Here is a 20,842-nt window from a genome sequence, read left to right on the forward strand (position 1 = left end):
CTCTAGCCAGGTATGCACCTACTCAGAGCTATGGAACATACGGGCTTAAAGAGATTGTTATGACTTCATTCCCCTGAGTTGGGTTGAACACATGGGTACAAAGTCTCTGGAGCCTCTTGGGGTTCTTAGTTGTCTAGAAAGCATGTTCTTATTTGATCTTTACAAAGAACCCTTTTGATATGGGGTTTTTGCCACCCGCATATCAAAGTAGTGCCACAAAAGTCAACTGTAGGAACAAAATAAAGGAAGTTCATATGGCTTCTCAAAGAAAAAAGGAAATGGTAAATTAAAGCCCTCATTTATTTGTTGATGAAATATTTATTGAGTGTTCCAGATGTTCTCATTCAGTGCCTTGGATGGGGACTCCGTAGTTCATGTCTAGTGGAGAGAAATAGAAATGTGCATAGTTAGTTACAATCTCTTAGATATTAGATATTGAGGTGTGCACAGAGAACTATGGGTGCTTACGGGAGGATCCACCTACGTGTGTGTGTTAGTGTGTGTATACGTGTGTATTGCACAGAATGTCAGTGATGGTAGAGAAGATTCCTGTGAAATATAATACTATTAATGGAATTTTGAAAGGATGAGTGGCAGTTAGCCAGGGCAGTAGAGTAGGAAGGGTATTTATGCTAGAAAAGAGCATTTGCAACGACAGACAAATATAGAAGAACATGGCTCATCTGAGGAAGGTCAAGCAGCTTAGTCTGATTGGAGTTTAAGGTTTAGTGGGGAAGAGTGGAGACACTTGAGGTTTGAGAGCTTTGCCAGATTATGAAGGTTTTGTTAGGCAAAGTAGTGGGTAATGGGTGGACCATCAAAGAGGTTTAAACAGGAGAATGCCATAATCAGATCTGATGTTAAGAAATATCACTTTTGCGAGGTAATGAATGAATCAAAAAGCAGCAGAATGGTCAGCAATAATAATAATTGAAAACACTTGGTAATGTTCAATGCCAGTCTTTTTCAGCCTACTTTTTAGGCACTAACTCATGTAATCCTCATGACAATTTTATTCTTGAGTACTATTGTTATCTCAATATTACAGATAAAGAAATGGAGACACAGAACTGTAAAGCAATTTTTCCAGCTTTACTCAAATAATGAATGGCAGAATAACAACTCATATCCAACAGGCTGGCCGTCCATGTTCTTACCACTATGTTAGACTGCCTTTCAATAACTACAGCATTTATTAAGAGCTTTCAGTATACCAGGCAGTGTTCTAAGCATGTTACAAGCAAAAGCTAATATGCTAGAACCACTCCATGAAGTAAGTACTATTAATATTAATATTCCCATTGTATAGATGATATAACTAAGGAGAGAGGTTAAATGATTTGTCTAATATTACCTAGATAGTAAGTAGCAGAGGTTAAATTCAAACTTGGCAGTCTGAAATAAGAACCTGAGCTCTTCACCTCTGTATTGTATAGATGTGGGTAGACTATTTATGGGTGTGTTAAAATAATCAAGGCAGAAGTCATGGTGGCCCGAACTAACAGAGTGATAGTAGAGATAAGGGATATAAATCCAAGGTATATTAAGAAAGTAAATTTTAGGGAATTTAAAATGACTATTGGAAGAACAGTGGGGGGTGAAAGTAAGATATTAAAGATGACCTGAATGATGAAACCTAACACGTAGGGTCCCGTATTACTGTCTATTGTTGCATAACAAATCAATCCCAAATTTAGCAGCTTAAAACAACAAATAGTCATTACTTTGCAGCTTCCATGTGTCAGGAATCAGGGTTAGGTTTAGCTGAGTGCCTCTGTCTCAAGGTGTTTTATTAGATTGCAGTCCAGTTGTCAACTACGTCTGTGGTGTCATCTGAAGGATTATCTTGCAGAGGACCCTCTTGCAGGCTCACTCACATGGATTTTGTCAGGCCTCTGTCCCTTGTCACATGGACCTTCAGCATGATGGCTGGCTTCTCCAGAGTGAGCAATCCAAGAGATAGAAGACACAGTCCTTTCATAGGCTAATCTCAGAAGTGACATCATATCACATCTGTGGTATTCCAATCATTAGAAGGGAGTTTGTATTAGTCTGTTTTCATGCTGCTGATAAAGATATACCTGAGACTAGGAAGAAAAAAGAGGTTTAATTGAACTTAAAGTTCCACATGACTGGGGAGGCCTCAGAATCATGGCAGGAGGTGAAAGGCACATCTTACATGGTGGTGGCAAGAGAAAATGAGAAAGATGCAAAAGTGGAAGCCCCTGATAAAACCATCAGATCTCATGGGACTTGTTCACTACCACAAGAACAGTCTGGGGGAAAACCGCCCTCATTGTTCAAATTATCCCCAGCAGATTCCTCCCACAACATGTGGGAATTATGGAAGTACAACTCAAGAGGAGATTTGGGTGGGGACACAGAACCAAACTATATCAGAGTCAGCAAGTCCAGTTGACCCTCAGGAAGAGGAGATTACTCAAGGACATGAATACTATAAATTAGAGATCAGTGAGATTCGTCTTTAAGGCCTCCTATCAAAATCTTTATTCCATGGCGTCCTTTTCTTAGGACACCATAATAACCTGTTTGAAAACCACTGATTTAAATCATGGGCAGAGAAATCAGAGCTCAAAATGGAAACTGGGACATAAGAAACTACAGAGGTAAGAGAGAAGCCAGAAGGGGCTTCCAAAAACCACTAAAGTTTTGGGAAATAATGTCAAATACTATAGAAATATCAGAAGCCACCCTTGAGAGTATCATTCGTAATCTAGGCAGGGCAATTGCCTTACTCTAGGGGAGTGGAAGGCAGATTACTGTAGATAGAAGAGTGAAGTTAAGGAGTAAAAATAGTGAGAACAGGCGACTTTTTAAAAAGAGTCCTGTTGTGATGAAAGAAGAGTGTGTGCTAAATAGAGGTGATCTGTGCTTAAAAAAGACTTTAAAAAGAAAGAGAGATGCAACATACAAAACCCTTTCTGATGATAAGGTGACTCTGTAGGATAATTAACAAAGAAGAAAATAAAGCCATGTGGAATGTGATACTGCAATCCTTCATCCTAGTGGCCAAGGCCTCCACTGTCACCTATGCAAGTTGCAGAAGAGCAAAACATGGAATCTATGCCATAATGTGGAGATAAAGATTTGAAAAGGAAGTCCAAAGGGAATCTCAGAAAAATGTTTTCTATAATTTTATTTCTGCTTCTGATAATATGCTAAAATTTCCTGATATGTTGCTGTGTTGTAACACAGTGTTCATTCTGAACATTTGGATCTTTTACCCAAGTTACATTTTTGTTAGGGAGATAATGCTCATCCTAATGCATCAAATGTAATTGCAATTGTGAAGTAAATGCTAGGAAACACATTTCTTTGAATCTTCTTCCAATTCATGTATTTCTCCCCCCTTTTAATCTTCTGCCCTAATAGGACGTCTCCTGAGTTCTCTTAGTTCAATATAATATCACCGTGTTTCTTAGGGAAGCAGTTCTACTGTAGTGGTTAATGTCACAGGATCTGGAATTAGATCACCTGGCTTCAATTTCCAGCACTCACATTGATTATTATGTGACCTTGGGCAGACTGTAACTGCTCTGTGCCTCAATTTTATCACTTGAAAAATTGTTAACACTTTACCACCTGCAAAATGATAAAATCTTTCTTACTGGCATTGTTATGAGCATAAATAAAGTACTAGCAATTGGAAAAATGCCCAGCATATAAGAAACTCTCAACAAATGTTATGTTTCATCATCAGCATCATCGTCATCATCATCATCCTATCACTTCCAACTGAAACCTTCGTTATCCTTGACACTTCCCTTCAGCTTCATCCTTCCATGTCTTACTGACTATTCAGTCTGTGCTCCTTTTGAAGTAGCCAGTATTCTTGTCTTTACTGAGAAAATTTATTAGAGATATTAGACACAAACTTTGCCTGCTTGAAGTTGTAACAGTTAGGTTATTTGACCACTGGCCTCAAATATGGTAAAGGACATTGATTACTGTACTGAGTTAATTAGTGTCTCCCTAAAACTTGTGTCCACTTGGAAATTCAGAACTGAGAATGTGATCCTATTTGCAAATTGGGTCTTTGCAAATGGAATTAGTTAAGATGAATCCATACTGAAATAAGGTAAGCCCTAATCCAATGACCAGTGTCCTGATAAGAGAAAACAGAGATACAGAGACAGGCACAGAAGGAAGATAGCCATGTGAAGAAGAAGGCAGGAATTTGAGCAATTCAACTACATGCCAAGGAATGCTAAGAATTGCAAGCTAGAAAGAGGAAAGAAAGAATGCTTTTCTAGAAACTTCAGAGATATGGCCCTGCCAACACCTTGCTTTTGGAATTATGGTCTTCTGAAAAGCAGAAGAAAAATTCCTGTTGCTTGTAGTCAACCAGTCTGTAGTAATTTGTTACAGCATGAGTGGGAAACTAATACAGTTACTAATAGACTTTCCCAAAGTACTTAGCACAGCACACAGCGACTCCCATGATCTGACCTTTTGTGCTTTGACCAGATTATGTTTAGGCTTCTTGTTCATCACTTATGCTGTTTTCTCAGTTCTGTGCATCTGCACCACCCTTCTACTCCATGTATGAAGCTGCAACTTCTACTTCAAGGCTCTGTTGAGGCCTGAATCATCCTAATCAGAATTATTCTTCACTCTGTCTTTAATAGTATGTTGCAGCTACCTCTATCATATGTCGTATGTCTTTTTGCTTTGTGTTATAGATATTTGTTTAGATATCCGTCTTTTTTACTCTAAAGTTCTTTAAATCAAGATCTGTGTCTTTTTAAGAATCTCTGTATCAATAATGAGTGCAGTGATTGGTTTACTGGAGTTCATAACATGTTTGTTAAATAAATGAGTGAGTGAGAGACTGAATCAAACTGGTGAATACCTAATACTCATGGCTTGGTTAGCAGATAGGTCTACCTTCTCTCCCTATCAATCAATGACGGTGAATCTAAAAAGCTCACCATTAGAGATTCATTACTTCATATTATTGTGGACGAATTATCTCTTTAGAAGCCACAGGTCTAGAAAGAATAACTGTTAAATCCAGGATATTTTCCTGAGAATACATTTATCAAATCAGAGACAAAGAGAAAATGAAAGAACTGGGTCACAAGGAACAAAAGAAGGCAAAATGAGCTTTGAAATGAACCTCTTTGCAAGGTTTAGACACAACTCAGGAGAAAGAAAAGGGCCTCCAATTAGATTTTATTTTTAAATCACATTTTAATGTGGAAGGCAGACAACGATGCTTAGTCATTGTATAATTGTTGCTGTTTGACAAGTAGCCCCTTTGTGTGTATCCTATTGCTGGGAGAGGAAGGGAGGTGGATATGTGAATGAAATGTTACCAGAAAAAGGGTTTGTAGGCTTCCAGGTTCAGGTCTACTGCTTCTGTCCGTTTTCTAGTTGCGGCTTCCCTCTGTATTTTAGGTCCTCCAAGGAAGCCATTTATGACAGCAGCCACATTCTGTAAAATCAATTATTTTCCCAAGTCCTGTTTATCCTAATTCCACCTCCTGTTTTGTAGGAAGGTCCTCTCTGGTTAGATACTGCAGTTACTTGTGTTTGCTGAGGCAGAGAGAGTGCTTCTGCAGCTGACTAAAAGTGGTGGGACTTCTGGCTTCTGCAGCTGACTAGAAGTGGTGGGACTCCTGGCTTTTGCAGCTGACTAGAAGTGGTGGGGCTCTCTCTTCTCCATGAGGCAATGCAGCAGCAGGCTTTCTGTAGAGGCTCTTTGACTAAAAAAGCAGTTTATCTGGAAACCTCAAGGGAGTACTTGGAGAACTTGGGGTACTAGCCCTTACGTCTGGACCCCTCCAGGCAGTGAATTCCTCCTTCCCAAATATGTCTACCAATATACTTCCTGGGACATGGTGCAAATTTATTCACATGCCCATTTTCAGGCTTATATCAAAATCTTTTTAAATTATTTATGTTTTAATTATACTTTATTACTTTTTAACTAAAAATGTCATTTCCCTTGGGTGAAGAACCCAATGCAATATGAGAAATTTCAAAGAAGATTAAAAAAAAAAACCTGTATTGGGGACAGCATTTTAAGAAAGGCACAGCATGCTATTTAGGACCTTCTCTAATCTGTGAGATAAAATGCCACACAGTAATTTGTGCTTCACTGGAGCTCAGAGATCAAGTTTGAAGCTGTCACAAAAGGTACGTTTTGGAAAAAAAAAAGATTTCTAGGAGCTTTTCTTGATGAATTAATTTCTGGCAATATCCATCCAGCAGTTTGCTGTTGTTGAAAAAAAAAAACACAGCTTTTATTCTTTTCCTCTGGTATTGTGATTAAATCCAAATGATGTTTTAGCAGATCTTTACTCCCACAACTTCAGAGCTATCATTGCAACTACAGTGATTTTATGAAGGGAAGGAAATTCTACCAGCGCCTCTAGCATCAGTCAAAATAAGTTATTTCAAAGGAAAGAGGTGTCTTCAGTGGCTTAACAACAAGTTCAGTTTCCCCTTGTTTCTGGCTGAAATCTCACTTTTGGCCAAATAATACCCCCCGCCAAAAAAAGGAGGTTCTTATGGCCAGGTTTTTAGCAGGGGAAATGATCTTTTGCAGAAAGCTGTAGAGCTCTGGTTCAGAAGATCTAAGCTGAGAGACTTTTCCCCCTCAGCTCCAAAAATGTTAACTCTGTAATCTCTGGCTTTTGCCTTAGATGTGAAATTTTTGAGGTTTTCTTATAGATATTTCTTTGTATTAATTCTCTGTGGGCCAAACATAACTTTGAGTTGATGTTAATTTGGGTGGTAAGGTGTTATGAATGTTTCCACTGGTGTGGCTCTTTAAAAACTTCTGTAAAACGTTTGATCATTGGCTGGATGTGGTGGCACATGCCTGTAATCCCAGCACTTTGGGGGGCCGAGGCGGGTGGATCACCTGAGGTCAGGAGTTCGAGACCAGCCTGACCAACATGGTGAAACTCCATCTCTGATAAATACAAAAAAATTGCCGGGTATGGCGGTGCATGTAATCCCAGCTACTTGGGAGGCTGAGGCAGGAGAATCACTTGAACCCAGAAGACGGAGTTTGCAGTGAGCTGAGAACACACCATTGCACTCCAGCCTGGGCAACAAGAGCAAAACTCAGTCTTAAAAAAAAAAAAGAAGTGATCATTAGCAAACACCTGGTATACCTGTAAAGCTACTCCACTTTACTAGGTCCAGGGCATGACCAAGAGGCATCAGCTCCCATGTCTGCCACTCACTGATTACCTCGCTGAGGATGGCCTTGGAGAAGACCTTCATTCCTTAGAACTTTGTTAAACTATTTTGTAAAGTGCTGAAATTGGACCAAAAGTGATTCCCTAATTGCTCTGTGGAACACTGTGATCTTTGACATCCTAACACGTGTTCTGCACAACACACAAATTCTAAAATAAAGCAAAACAAAAATTATCATAGTCAAACAGGTGTGATAAATGCTTCCTAATATATTCCTCTCTTGATGACTTATGTTTCCTATTAGCATTTTGAAGCCTTGTAGATTTACGTAGTAAAGAAACCTGTGTAAATCTGTATTCTTCAAACTTAACTGACCATTATATAAGTCAGTATAGACTAGGCTATGCTGAAATAAAAAAATACATGAAAATCTCATTGGATTAAAAAAAGAAATATTCCCCCTACCCATGATATGTCTAACATGGTTTAACTACCCTGGACAAAAGCTCTATTTTTCATGGCTACTTAGGGATACCAGCTAGTAGAGTAGACGCCATAATGAAACTTGCAGGTCACTTTGCTAGTAAGAAAAGAAGTTTAGGAGAGTCTCAAAGCAGTCTTTAAAGGTTACCTCCCAAATATGATGCATCTCATTTCTACATACAACTCACTGGTCAGAAGTAGTCACATGACCATGGTCTACTAAGAGGGAGAAAGATAGGAAGAGCCTAGAGGACAGAAAAATTGGATGGCGATGAGCAGGACTAATGACTACAACTGCGGAACTCTTTATTATTGTAAAAACTATAACTGGCTTGTAGAATTGCATTCTGGAAAACTGCAGCAGATGAGTTTCCAGCCCCTTCAGCTCTGAAAGTCTGCAATTCTATGATCCAATTACAAAAAACATTTCCCCCTTTATAAGTTAGTGTGTATACTTCTCCAGGAGAAACCAGTTTTTCTTTTTTTAAAAAATTGTGGTAAAATATGTATAACATAAAAGAACACACCTTATTTTATAAGCTAAAGTTTTACATCAGATGAACCTTTGAATCGACTAAAATACCTTTTAGGAGAGCTGATTCATATCAAAGCATATCTTCACACAAGCCACTGCACAGAAACCACTTACATTTTATGTCCAATTGCATACTTTTAGATTAACAGAGAAAAATGAAGGTTGTATGAGACTAAATCCCATTGAAGACCATAATCTATGCAGTTATTTCTTGGGTGGGTTCAGGGACAATTTGTGAGCCCTTTGCTTAGGGGTCTTTCTTCTATCCACTTTCTGTTGTCTGTTAAGTTTCCAAATATAAGAGGAAAATGATTTTAAGTTAAGTTTCCAAATATAAGAGGAAATATAAGAGGAAATGGTTTTAAATTAAGTTTCCAAATATAATAGGAAAAATGATTCACCAGCTAAAAACGTTATATATATGTATTAGGCAAACTGGCATCCTCTACATTTAAAATATGTGATTACATATATGTGTGTATGTGTATGCATATATATATATATATATAAAATTGAATATATGTAATTGACTATATATATTCAATTAATCTGAAGCCCCCTTCCCAGCTCTCCCCACAAAAAATGTCTCGGGTGCTGGGAATACAAATAGGTAATGTCCTCACCAACCTTTCTCCCTGTTATTCACCTACTTCCTGTGACTTTTATTTTTGAGCCATAAAATACCTTCATTTTCTAAAGAAATAGGAAAACTGCAGTCTTGCAGAAATGAAAAGCTTGTGTTTAGCGTGGTTTAATTTTTTTAGTGTGGGGATACAATTTTTCATGTTTGGGTGAGCTGCTGGCTTGTCTCCAATAAGAGAAGTTCAATTTATCTACAGTTCATTCTGAACGACTACCTAGTGGGGACCTCAGTGGCCAGGGTAGTATTTAATCTGTCCCAGAACAGCCTGAGGCTATGATGAATTCCCAACCTTCTACCTCTCTCCCCTTAATACACATGTGATTTGTTGACGTGTTTATATAACATTCTGGGAATAGAGGCTGATTTATAAACATTTTGTAATGCAAAATAGATTTGAGCACAGCACTGTGCAAGTCATGGTTTGTGAATTGCTAATAGGCCACGAGTTTGGCTTAAATATACATCACATCCCGAGACATTAATCAATTCCTAGAGCTGAGTGAATACAAGGCTTGTCCTTATGGGAAACAAAATGCCTATTTTGAAGAAAGGAATTATAATAAGGAGCACACAGGCATTCTAGACCTTGAAGCTCTTAGCAGCAGCACGTCTTTTGTTTCATTTTTGAATGAAAAGCATTTGAAAGAAGAAGCTTGTGGTAGATTCAGTATGACTTTTTTTTAAAAAAGGATAAATATAGTGGTTTTACATTTATATGAAATATCCAATTGTTTGGCTATTTGTGGACTCCCAAATATTTGGTCCTTGGACAGCATAATGAAAAACTCCTCTTCTATATAAAATCTCTCCAGGGCTGAGCCCATCATGAAAAATTAATGGATTTATGAGTGGGAGGAAATGGAATCTTTTTTTTTCTTTTCTCTTTGTATTTTGTTGTTACATACTGTTAAAGCACTGATGCTTTTTTTTTGTCTATGTTTCCAATATACAGGATTAAAAATTTTTTTTCTATTATATTAAAATACATTTGGCATTCTTGAAGATGCCGTATTTACATTCACAACACCTTTAAAGTGCTTTCTCATATATCCTTTAGTGATCTGTTCAGCAGCATGTGAAAAATCTTACGCATCCTAGTATTCTTTGCATTTTAAAGATGTGATAACAGAGATTTAGAGTTTAAATGACTAGTCAAGGATATTTAGCTAAGAAATGGTGGAACTGGGATAGAAAATCAGATATTCACGTTACTAGTTTAGGGCTCTCCCTGATTGTGGTAATTGTTAATGCAATTATTTCCTTGGTTATATATTTTAGATTTTTTTAATAAAGTGATTCCTCAGGTTTTAAAACTAGTAATGAACTCTCCAATAAAAGTATGTTGCAAAAAAGAAAGCATATTACTAAAATTTAAAAAGTTTGTTATAGAGTACACACTGTATTAAATCTAGAGAATTTAAGAACTTTTGAATTTCCTTTTGGTGTCTTTGTTCCAAGGTACAATGTTCTGGCCAGTTGAGGCCTAACCCAGGGGTGGGAACATTCAGAATTTCTCTGTAAAAATCTGTTTTGGGGAACACTCATCTAGCATGCTAGTTGTTTGCTTCCATGTGAAGGGAACTCAGTGAATCTGCAGACCTTAGTCTATCTCTTGGGGGACACATCAGACTATAGCAGGCCCCCATTACTTCCTTCATCCATTCTTTTAATACATTCATTCATTCATTGTCCTCCTTCCCTCCCTTCTTCCTTCCCATTCTTTCTTTATTCCCTTCCTTCCCTCTCCCATCCCACTTCATCTATTTATTCTATTAACATCTTTCTGACATTTTTCTTGCATGTTGGGTTACTCCAATCTAGAGAAGGAGGAGAGGTGACTTATCTGCTTAGTACATTTGAAAAGAGTGAACAGGGCTTACGCATACTCAGCTCTCCTACTTTCATCTACTTTTTGAAATAGTCTTCCTGCTCTGCTCCTCCAAGGCTAGGCTCTTCACCTGTGAGGGACAGGAAAGGGGGCTTGTCACAGTTCACTGAGGCTGACATTAGGTTGGTAAGTCTGCCTAATTCCCAGATACACACATCAACTGGCCCTGCTCAACTTTCATCTGTCAAAATGAGATATATGGGCAACCACCTGTCACTCCTTGGTCTTATTTTTTTAATTTATTCAGATCCTGGGGAAATTACAGAAGTGCCATTTATTGAGCAGGCTTAAAGATGTTAATAGCCATAAACTGAGCATTTGGATATCTTGTGAACTATATATTCATCTTTAACTTTGGAGCATTTTCTAGAGAAATGTATTTCAAAAGCCTGCAATATAGACAGTAATAATAATAATTGCAGCTGACATTGATACTGTGGTAAATACTTTACTTGTTTTATCTCAATGAATCTTCATTATACTAGTTTTGATGAATACATGTATTATCTTCAGCTTTCGATAAACAACTGAGATTTTAGTCTTGTATCTTTTCTGAATTAAAATATTTCCCTTTATTGATAAAGCAACATAAAAATGGTACTGTCTAAAGCAGAAAAGGGTAATTGGATGGGGAAGGATTCTATGCTGTGCCCTCAGGATTGAAACTCTCATTGCAAAAATTATAACGGAGAAAATTATTGCAGTGAAAGAAATCTGACCTAACTGACTCCATCTTCCTTCTAACCTCCATGCTATCCTCATTCATTCCTGCATATGGGCCAAATTGACTTTGGAAGGAACTTAGTTTACAGTTTAACTTTGAAACAAAGATGATAACTGCCCTTTGCCAAAACAAACCCCCTGCCTACCTAGGGACTAGACTGCCTTTGTAGGACTAACAGAATAGCTACAAGATTAGAAATTATGGTTTAGGAGCCATGCAGCTGGAGGCTGCAAGATTCTGAGCCTCCTCAAATTGTTCCTCAGGATTACATCACTATTGTAAAACCTAAGATCAGTGCTTGAGATATTTTGCACACCCTGCACTTAGTGGATCAGCTGGCACCAACCATATCCATAAACTGGTTCTTCTGGTTTTGCTGCCCCCACCTAGGAACTGACTCAGTGCAAGAGGACAGCTTCCACTCCCTATGATTTTATCTCTGACCTAACTCCCCACTTTCCAACCCTCTACCCACCAAATTGTACTTAATAACTCCATCCCCAAATTTTCAGGGAGATTGATTTGAGTAATAACTCCATCTCCCACATGGTGTGGCCAGCCTTATATCAGTTAAACTCTTTCTTTACTGAAATACTGTGGTCTTTACTTGTGCAGCAGGCAGGAAGAACCTATTGGGCAGTTACAAGATCCCACTTTAGAAATAAATAACTTACTCCCCAGGCTGCTGGCAAGCTCTGGCTGTCACCATTCAGCTGTTAGCCCTCTTGGGGACAGGCAGCAGGCAGTAGGCAGTAGGCAGTAGTTTGCTCATTCATACTTGCTCTAGACAATGGAGGTCCATTGAAAGCTTTTGCACAAAAGTTGTGCGTTCTCCCTGACACCACAGGGCATTCTCCTACACCATTATTTTACTTTCAGGCCCTCCTTTCATTCATTATTTCTGCTGTAACAAAATACCTGACATGGGGTAATATACAAACAACAGAAATTTATTTCTTACACTTCTGGAGATGGGGAAGTCTATAATCAAAATGCTGGCAAGTTGAGTTTCTAATAGAGCCAAGTTTCTCTGCTTCTAAGATGTCACTTTGTTGCTGCATCTTCTGGAGATAAAACACTGTGTCTTTACATGGCAAAGAAAAGCTGAACCCACTCTCTCAAAGCTTTTGTAAGGAACCTAGTTCCATCCATGAGGGTTTCCCCCTCATGACTTAATCATTTCTTAAAGGCCTCTCCTCTTAATACTATCACATTGGCCATTAAATTTCATCACATGAATTTTGGGGGACAAATCAGATCATAGCAGGCACCGATTTCTTCCTTTATCTGTTCTCTTATACATACATTCATTTGTTCATTGTCCTCCTTCCTTCACTTCTTTCTGCCCTTCCGTTCTTTACTCCCTTCCTTTCCCTCCCTCTCCCCTCCCACTTCTTCTACTTATCCTATTAACATCTTTCTGACATTTTTCTTGCCCGCTACTGAAGCCTTGATCTGGATCATTGACTCTTCCCCCTTCTGCTTTGACTGTCTCAACAACTGCAATTTTGTCTCCTGGTAAATTAAACTCAAGCAATTGCTGGCAGAAAAGCAGCTCTTAAATGACAGTGTAAGTTATTTCTCACTGGGGCTCTTTTCTCCCCTCACGTTTATGAGATAATTGGAAATAAATCTGTGAGCATTAAAAAAAAAAGGAGTGAAAAGATACTAAGATAATTTTACACCAGACTCCATTAGAATCTCTTAGAACTTTTAACTTCTGTACCTTAATACATGGCTTAATTCCTTCACTACTGCTTATATTTTAAATAATAGTCTTCTGGGATAGATGTTGTTTGAGAATGAAGTATAAGCCATACAGAAAAATGTTGTAGACTCAGATTTAACTGTCACAATACATCCTAATTCATAAACAGTAAATAATTACTTAGCATTGTCAGAAAATGATATATTCTGCTTAATCCAAAATTCTATTTACTGAAGCATGCTAAATAATCTAGATATGAATTATCAATTTCAAAGAAAAATATTAGAATTTTTACTGAAGTAAACTAATTTTTTTGATGATTCAAAATGTTTTATCTCTAGATTCAGATTAGTTGGTTTAGAAGCCCAACACTATTGCATCTTTGAGTGAATGTCAAACTTTCTAAGTTTCATGTATCTCATCTACAAAATGGGGAATATGATAATTTCTAACCTCATGGAATTATGGTACAAACTAAATAGAAATAATTTATATCACATACTTGGAATAGCTTCAGAACATATGATAGGTGTGGTGGATTTCAAATATGTCCACACATTCCTCAATACTTTTCTCTTTAAGATGTGGAGCTTAGTTCACATTCCATTGACAGCTGCTACACTTAGTGATTTACTTCCAATGAATAGGCTATGGAAGTTTTCATGACATATCATTTCCTGTGCTAGTCATTTCCTGTGTCCTGGTTGCTCTCTTGGGTCATTTGCTCCAGGGAGAAACCAATTGCATGTAACTAGGACACTTAGCTGATGAATTGAGAGGCGCACGTGGTGAGGAACTAAGGCCTTCAGAGATAACCAGCAAGGAATTGAATCCTGCCAACAACCATGTGAACGAGTTTATGAGCAGATCCTACAGATTTCACATGACTAAACTGTCATCATCTTGATGGCAACCTCATGAGAGACCCCGAGCTAGAACTACCCAGCTAGCCACTTCTGGACTCATAACCCTCAAAAACTGTGAGAGATAATAAGTATTTGTTGCTTTACATTTGGGCATTGTTTGTTATGCAGCAGCAGATGATGATTAATGTAATAAGCACTTAATATTTGTTAGCCATTATTATTATTCATTCACTCTCAGTAGCTGTTTTGAGGCACCTGAGCACACCCACCTTTTAATTCGAATCCCATAAAGCTCCAGTTGGTTAAAGCTGGACAAACCCCTTTGCGTTAGTGCTTTGACCTGATTTTGAGGTGGTTTCTAAATTTAGAACTAGCTATGAGTTAAATGCTCTCACTTTATAAAGAACAGCTTGATAACTTTATTTTCTAGAGCAGGATGATAATCTTTAAAAAAGTGACAAAAGATACTACTGCTCAAGTTTCATTGATGTCCAAAATAAAGGGGTGAGCATGTGTTCACTTGCTATATATAAGTACACTTCACATGCCACGAGTCTACTTATTCCCCTTGATCAAATGAGAGCCCCAAAGCTAAGAGAATGTAAATGAGTTTCTAAGATGCTACAGGAATAAGACTGCAGAATGAGGATTTGGACCTGGTTGTATCTGGCTTCAAATCTGGTGTTCTGGTTACCTTATGCCTCTGAGGAAGGAAAGATGGGATCAGAGCCCAGATTTAAATTGTATCAGGCAACTCTCTCTCTCATAGGTAGACTGTTCTGTTAATGAATTAGGACCCCTAGTCTTGTTCCTAGTGAAGGCCAATGGTTCTGCACATCCCTGCGCATGCACACACACACACACACACACAATCACAGCTAGACATCACATGCTTGATCCCAGTGAGACTTTTACCAATGGTATGTGGAAAGTCTCGGTGAAGAATAGAGGACACCAGATGAGCCTATGGATGACTCAGTACAACCTGTCACATTGGTTAGGAAATTCAATTTCAAGCCATATTTGCCTTGCTGAGAATGAGTCAGTTGTTCTTTCTCTTCTCTGACACGTCAAAGGTTCACCTGAACAGGTCAAGGTTGTCATAGGAAATGGAAGAGCATAAAGAATAATGAAAACAGTCCAAGAAAGGTATTTTGATATTCATCAAACATGGAGTTTAGTGTCATTTCACTATATTCTCCATGAAATAAGATTTTTCCAAGAACATTTTATATAGCAAACAAAGTGGTAAACTGATAGCCTGAACTTATATGTATGTCTCTTTTTGGGGGAAAGGTGCTCTAAATCAGTTTTTTAATAGTGTAGACACTTTAAAGTTCTTTCTGTCTATTAAGGGATTTGAGTGATTCCTTTCCCTCTCTAACAAATGGCTTGGCATTTCTACTGTATGGATTTTTTTTTTTTTTCAAATAGGCATCTCAACCACTAGTCACTTAAAAAAAAGAATTCTATCATATCTTACCAAATCAATACTTGGTAATAGTAAAGTTCCAACTACTGCCCAGTCATTAGAGGTCTGGTATCTAACCTCTGGAGTATGATTTCTTAAAAGTAAACTCAGAGGCTGGTAAACACATGGTGATGTAATTCTAGAAATGCTAGCTAATAACTTTATTTGGGTCAGCTTTACAGTCCTGAGGGAATGGAAGGCTACCACTCAAATGGCTCTTGGCCACTCATGGGTCAGTCTAACCATGGAATACTTTGTTTCAGCAATGACTAACTGTCTAAGAAAGAATGGCAAAGCTAGCTATTGCCTGTATTTTAAACATCAGGAAACTTCTGGAGTTAGTTCCAGATTACCCATCCCTACTGGGAATCACAGAAAAGAAAATCTGGTAATAGACAGTTGAAAGTACATGTATCATCCAAAGGACAGGTCATTTAGGAGAACTGAACATTCCCATTCTTATTTCTTGGCTGAGAGACTTAGAAGCTGACTTTTGGTTTTGAAACAGAATCTGCCAGTTACTTGCTATGTGACCTTAGACAAGCCACTTCCCCTCTCTAAGGCTTCATACACTCATTTGAAAATCAGAGTGATACTAATAACAATCTCAGAGGGCATCGTTACGATTTAACAAAATTATATATGTAAAATGATTAATATAGTGCCGGATAATTACTAATCACTCAGTCAATGTAAGCAGTTAATAGTAATAACATAATAGCAGCATTAACAATTAGTGCTACAAAGTTATACTTTGTAATTCATCAAACATTTGATGTGCTATAACTCACACCAAAGTTACACTTTGTTGTTACAAAGTTCATTTGCTTTTTGCATTTAGAATTACATATGACAGCTTTGTGTGTGTGTATGTTGTAATGGTCATGGTGATGATGGTGGAAAGGAATGCTTATACGCTGGCTATTATCTAGTTCCCTACCTCATGCTAATTTAAGAGGCCTTGAGGCGAGGTTCTGTTGGCTCTTTATATCTGGCCTAGGCTGCCATGTATATCTGCTCAGGATCTAAAACAACCACAGTCAGAAAGACTCCAGTAATTCAATGGGAATTGAGAGTTGACTCAAGTTTTATCACATTTTACTTCTCAGTTGCATTGGACATGGTACACCACCTGCTTCCTGAAACACTTTTCACTTGGCTTCTGGAACATGTTGGCTTGGCTCCCTTGCTACCTCACTCATCACTCCTTCCCATTTCTCCTCATCATCTTAATCTCTTATTCTGAGAGTGTCTGGGACTGTATTTGGTATTTAGGGCATTTATTCTCTTCTCTATCTATAGTCACTCCCTGAGTAATATCATCCATTCTGAGACCTCTTAAAGCCATCTCTATCCTAATCATTTTAAAATTTGTATCTCTAGCACAGAACTTGTTCCTGAATTCCAGACTCTTACCCAGCAGCCTACTTGAAACATCCACTTGGATATTCGAGGGGCATTGCAAACTTACCTTGTCCCAAACTAAACTCCTGAATTCCTTCCCTGCTCCTCTTGCACTCTTCCCTATTTCACTGAGTGCCAACTCTCTCCTTACCTTTTAAGGCCACAACTACTGCAATGTTTAACTCCTTTTCTGCTTTACACTGCACATAAATAATCTAAGGAAATTCTGTCAGCTCTGTCTTCAAAATATGAATAGAATCCAACAGTGTCTCACCGTTTCCATGGTTTCTTCCCAAGTCCAAGTTATCTGTAGTTTTATATGTGGATTATTATAATAGCCTCTTAATTATCTTTACCTGTTTCACTGACCATCTCTTGTCTGTTTTCAAGTCAACATCTACAGTGATCTTTCCAAGGGGTTGAATCTGAGCTTGTCACTCCTTTATTCCTCTGGGATATACCCAGAGGAATATAAAGCATTCTACCGTATTTTTATTTTATTTATTTTATTTTATTTATTTTAATTCCTCCAACAGTCTCTCAGCACTCAAAGCCAAGCATTTACAATGGCCCACAGGGCCCTAGTGACCTATTTCTTCTACCTCAACCTCTTTAACTTCATTTCTCATTCACTCTTTAATTCTGTTGCATTTTAACCTCTTTATCTTCTTTGAGCAAGTGGTCGTACTCCGACCACACAGGCCCTTTGTACTTGCTGTCCCATCTGCCTGGGACACACACACACACACACACACACACAAACACACACACACACACACACACTTTCTCTTTCTCTCTCTCACTGGGTACACTGAATGAAATCATAGATCCATCTATCTTTCTACCTTTGCCCTGAACAATAGTCCCTCTCTCTCCACGTTAATCTGCGCTTAAACTTTTTCCTTCTACAGCATTTAAAACTGCCTGATTTTATAGAAAGATAGAATAAATATTCATTCACACATTCATATACATAGATGAGTTATAATTTATTTTCTCTACTTCTATCAGAATGTAAGCTACATAGATGGTATTTACATTTACATTTTGCTTATTGCTGTATTCCCAGATCTTAGAAAAAATGCTTGACAAGAAAAAGGTACTTACTGAATATTTGTTGAATGAATAAATGAATAAATTGAATCTTTATCAAGCTGAAGTTATTCCTACCAGAGGCACTACTCTTGAAAAACTTACCAGCCACAGATTTTCTTGCATTGCAAAGGACCTTAGACACTCAGTATATCCTCCTAATTTTATGAGTATTCAGATACTCAGAAATAAATAGTGGTTGTCTTAGGCCTTGGAGTAAATAAGTAAAATATTAAGGTCCAGACTGTCAGTTTCTTAACTCTTACTCAGTATGGTGTTCTATAGTCTTAAGACATGTCAGAAACCTCCAAAAGAAATTGTAGAGGGCCTAATACTGGGGATAATGTGGATATTATAGCAACAGGGACAAGTCCAGGGCTTGACAAGGACACTTAAAACAGCAATAAGCAGCAGAGTTCACTGGGAAATTAGGGCAGGAAAAAAATAACAGATGCTGGCAACGTTGTAGAGAAAAGAGAACAATTATGCACCATTGATGGGAGTGTAAATTAGTTCAACCATTATGGAAAGTAGTGTGGTGATTCCTCAAAGAGCTAAAAACAGAACTACCATTCAACCCAGCAATCCCAATACCGTGGATATACCCAGAGGAATATAAAGCATTCTACCATAAAGACACATGCATGCGAATGTTCATTGCAGCACTATTCACAATGGCAAAGACATGGAATCAACCTAAATATTCATCAGTCACAGACTGGATAAAGAAAACGTGAGACATACACACCATGGAATACTATATAGCAAGATCTTGTCTTTTGTGAGAATATAAATGGAGCTACAGGTCATTATCCTTAGAAACCTAATGCAGAAACAGAAAACCAAATATCACGTGTTCTCACTTGTAAGTGGGAGTTAAGTGATGAGAACTCATGGACACAAAAAAAGGAACAACATACATTGGGGCCTAGTTGAGGGTGGAGGGTAAGAGGAGGGAGAGGAGCAGAAAAAATAGTTATTCAGTACTAGGCTTAGTACCTGGGTGATGAAATATTCTGTAAATGAACCCCTGTTACACGAGTTTATATATATAACAAACCTGCACATGTACCCCTGAACTTAAAATAAAAGTTAAAAAAACAAAAATAATAAAATGTAAAATGTGGTTCAAAAAGAAGAGGTCATAAAGACTGAAGAAAGGTTTGTTCATTGTCAATTGGTTAATTTGTTCATAATCCACTGCTTATGCCAGTTCCTGTACTAGGGGCTGAAGGACACAGACAAATTGTACTTGCTGTGCCAGGGGCTGACATTCTTTTCAGCTGGGTGAGTAGGAGATGTGGAACAAGGTATACTTGAGGAGGATTTCACAGAAAAGGCGAGATCTGAATTAAGTCTCAGAAAATAAGTGGACCCCAGTAGGTAGAGAAGAAGTGAGGAGGTGGAAAGATAGTGAGCAGCATGGGCAAAGTCATAGTGGTATGATAGTGCATATATTCAGGGACTAAACATTAGCCAATAGGACAGGAGAGGTAGGTTAGTGGAAGGGGTAAGGAGGAGAGGGAGGACTGGGAAGATGGACTGAGGCCAGACGGCGCATGGTGAATGGTATCTTAAAGCTTAAACCTCTAAACACCTTGCTGAAGGAGGGTCTCTCTTTCTCTCTCTCTCCTCTTTCTCTCTTTCTTTCTTTCATTTTTGCTAAAACTCAAAAAGGCCTTCAATGCTATTCTGATATTCCACCAACTTTCTTAGATATCAATTTTTCTATTATTTGCTTCTAGAGATTCTAAGCAAATTTTCATGTGCTTCTATTATGAGGAAAATAATAAGATTTTTTCATTAATATATGTCACATGCACAGATGTAGTTTAGCAGGGCCCAAACTTGGTTCTAATGTACAATGTATAGGCATGCTGTGAGAGAAGATTGAAAGAAAAAAATATATCTTGTATTGTACATTCTGATCTGTAACTCTTTTCAGGGAAAAGAATGTATAAATTTATTTATTTATATACCTAAGTCTTAATGCAGAGAATATTTTATTTATATTATAAAAATCCCAGGTGAGGAGCCAACAGAGTAATTTTAAAGTATCAAAGAGGAGTTTACCTGGTGTAAATTGCATTCAAGGAAAAGATAAATATTCGATTTTTGTAGCATGACTCTCCTTTACATTACCATAAAATGGATGAAAACAATAAAAACTGCCAGAAAGTTCTGAAAAGCCAGTGATTCTTTTTAATAAAAGATGAGTGGTCTGTGTATATTACTGTGATTAATCAAAATGATACAATATTTATTTGCATTTGTCAGGCAAGGTGCTGAAATTTTCTTAGTAGATGTTAGTGAAGATAGGAACACAGTGTAGCAGCAGCACTGTCTCCTTCCTTTTAATTGACAAATAACTACAGAGAGAACGGTCAGAAACTGGAAGAGAGCAGGGAAAATAGATGAATTCTTCCCAGATGATGCAGGGGCCCTGTTAATGGAATTCTGTTCACATAGTCTAGAGCTCAGACCTGCCTTGGTTTAATCAGCTTGCTGAACATTACAGTTGAGTATAGCCATGTTGATCCAGGTCTCTACATACATAATTTATTTCCCCTAAATTAGGTCTTGTTAAGTTCCCATTGTTTGACACATTATATTGAAAGTGCAATGGTGAGAATATGGTACCGTATCAGGTTTATGTATGTATGTGTCTCTGTATATACTTTAAAAATTTATACATAGAGCTCCAGTGTTGATGCATATCACTCTATCCCAGGCATTTGATGACTACAGAAAAATATTGGATGTTAAGCAGGATATCAACTTCTTCTATTTTGGCAATTATGTAGGCCCAGCTTTGCTGAAAATAAGGCCCATCCACCCTTGCAGAATTGAAT

General features: G+C 37.8%; 1 long non-coding RNA gene across 1 annotated transcript in view; it reads right to left on the bottom strand.

Moving 5' to 3' along the window:
* Positions 1 to 282: 282 nt before the first annotated feature.
* LINC01495 (long intergenic non-protein coding RNA 1495) overlaps positions 283 to 20,842 on the bottom strand; it is a 46,348-nt gene continuing 25,788 nt past the window's right edge. The window contains exon 4 of the long non-coding RNA NR_120583.1: positions 283 to 378. This is a non-coding gene — a long non-coding RNA (long intergenic non-protein coding RNA 1495). The remainder of the gene's footprint in view (positions 379 to 20,842) is intronic.

Source organism: Homo sapiens, chromosome 11 (assembly GCF_000001405.40).
Source record: "Homo sapiens chromosome 11, GRCh38.p14 Primary Assembly".
Classification (NCBI taxonomy): Eukaryota; Metazoa; Chordata; class Mammalia; order Primates; family Hominidae; genus Homo; species Homo sapiens.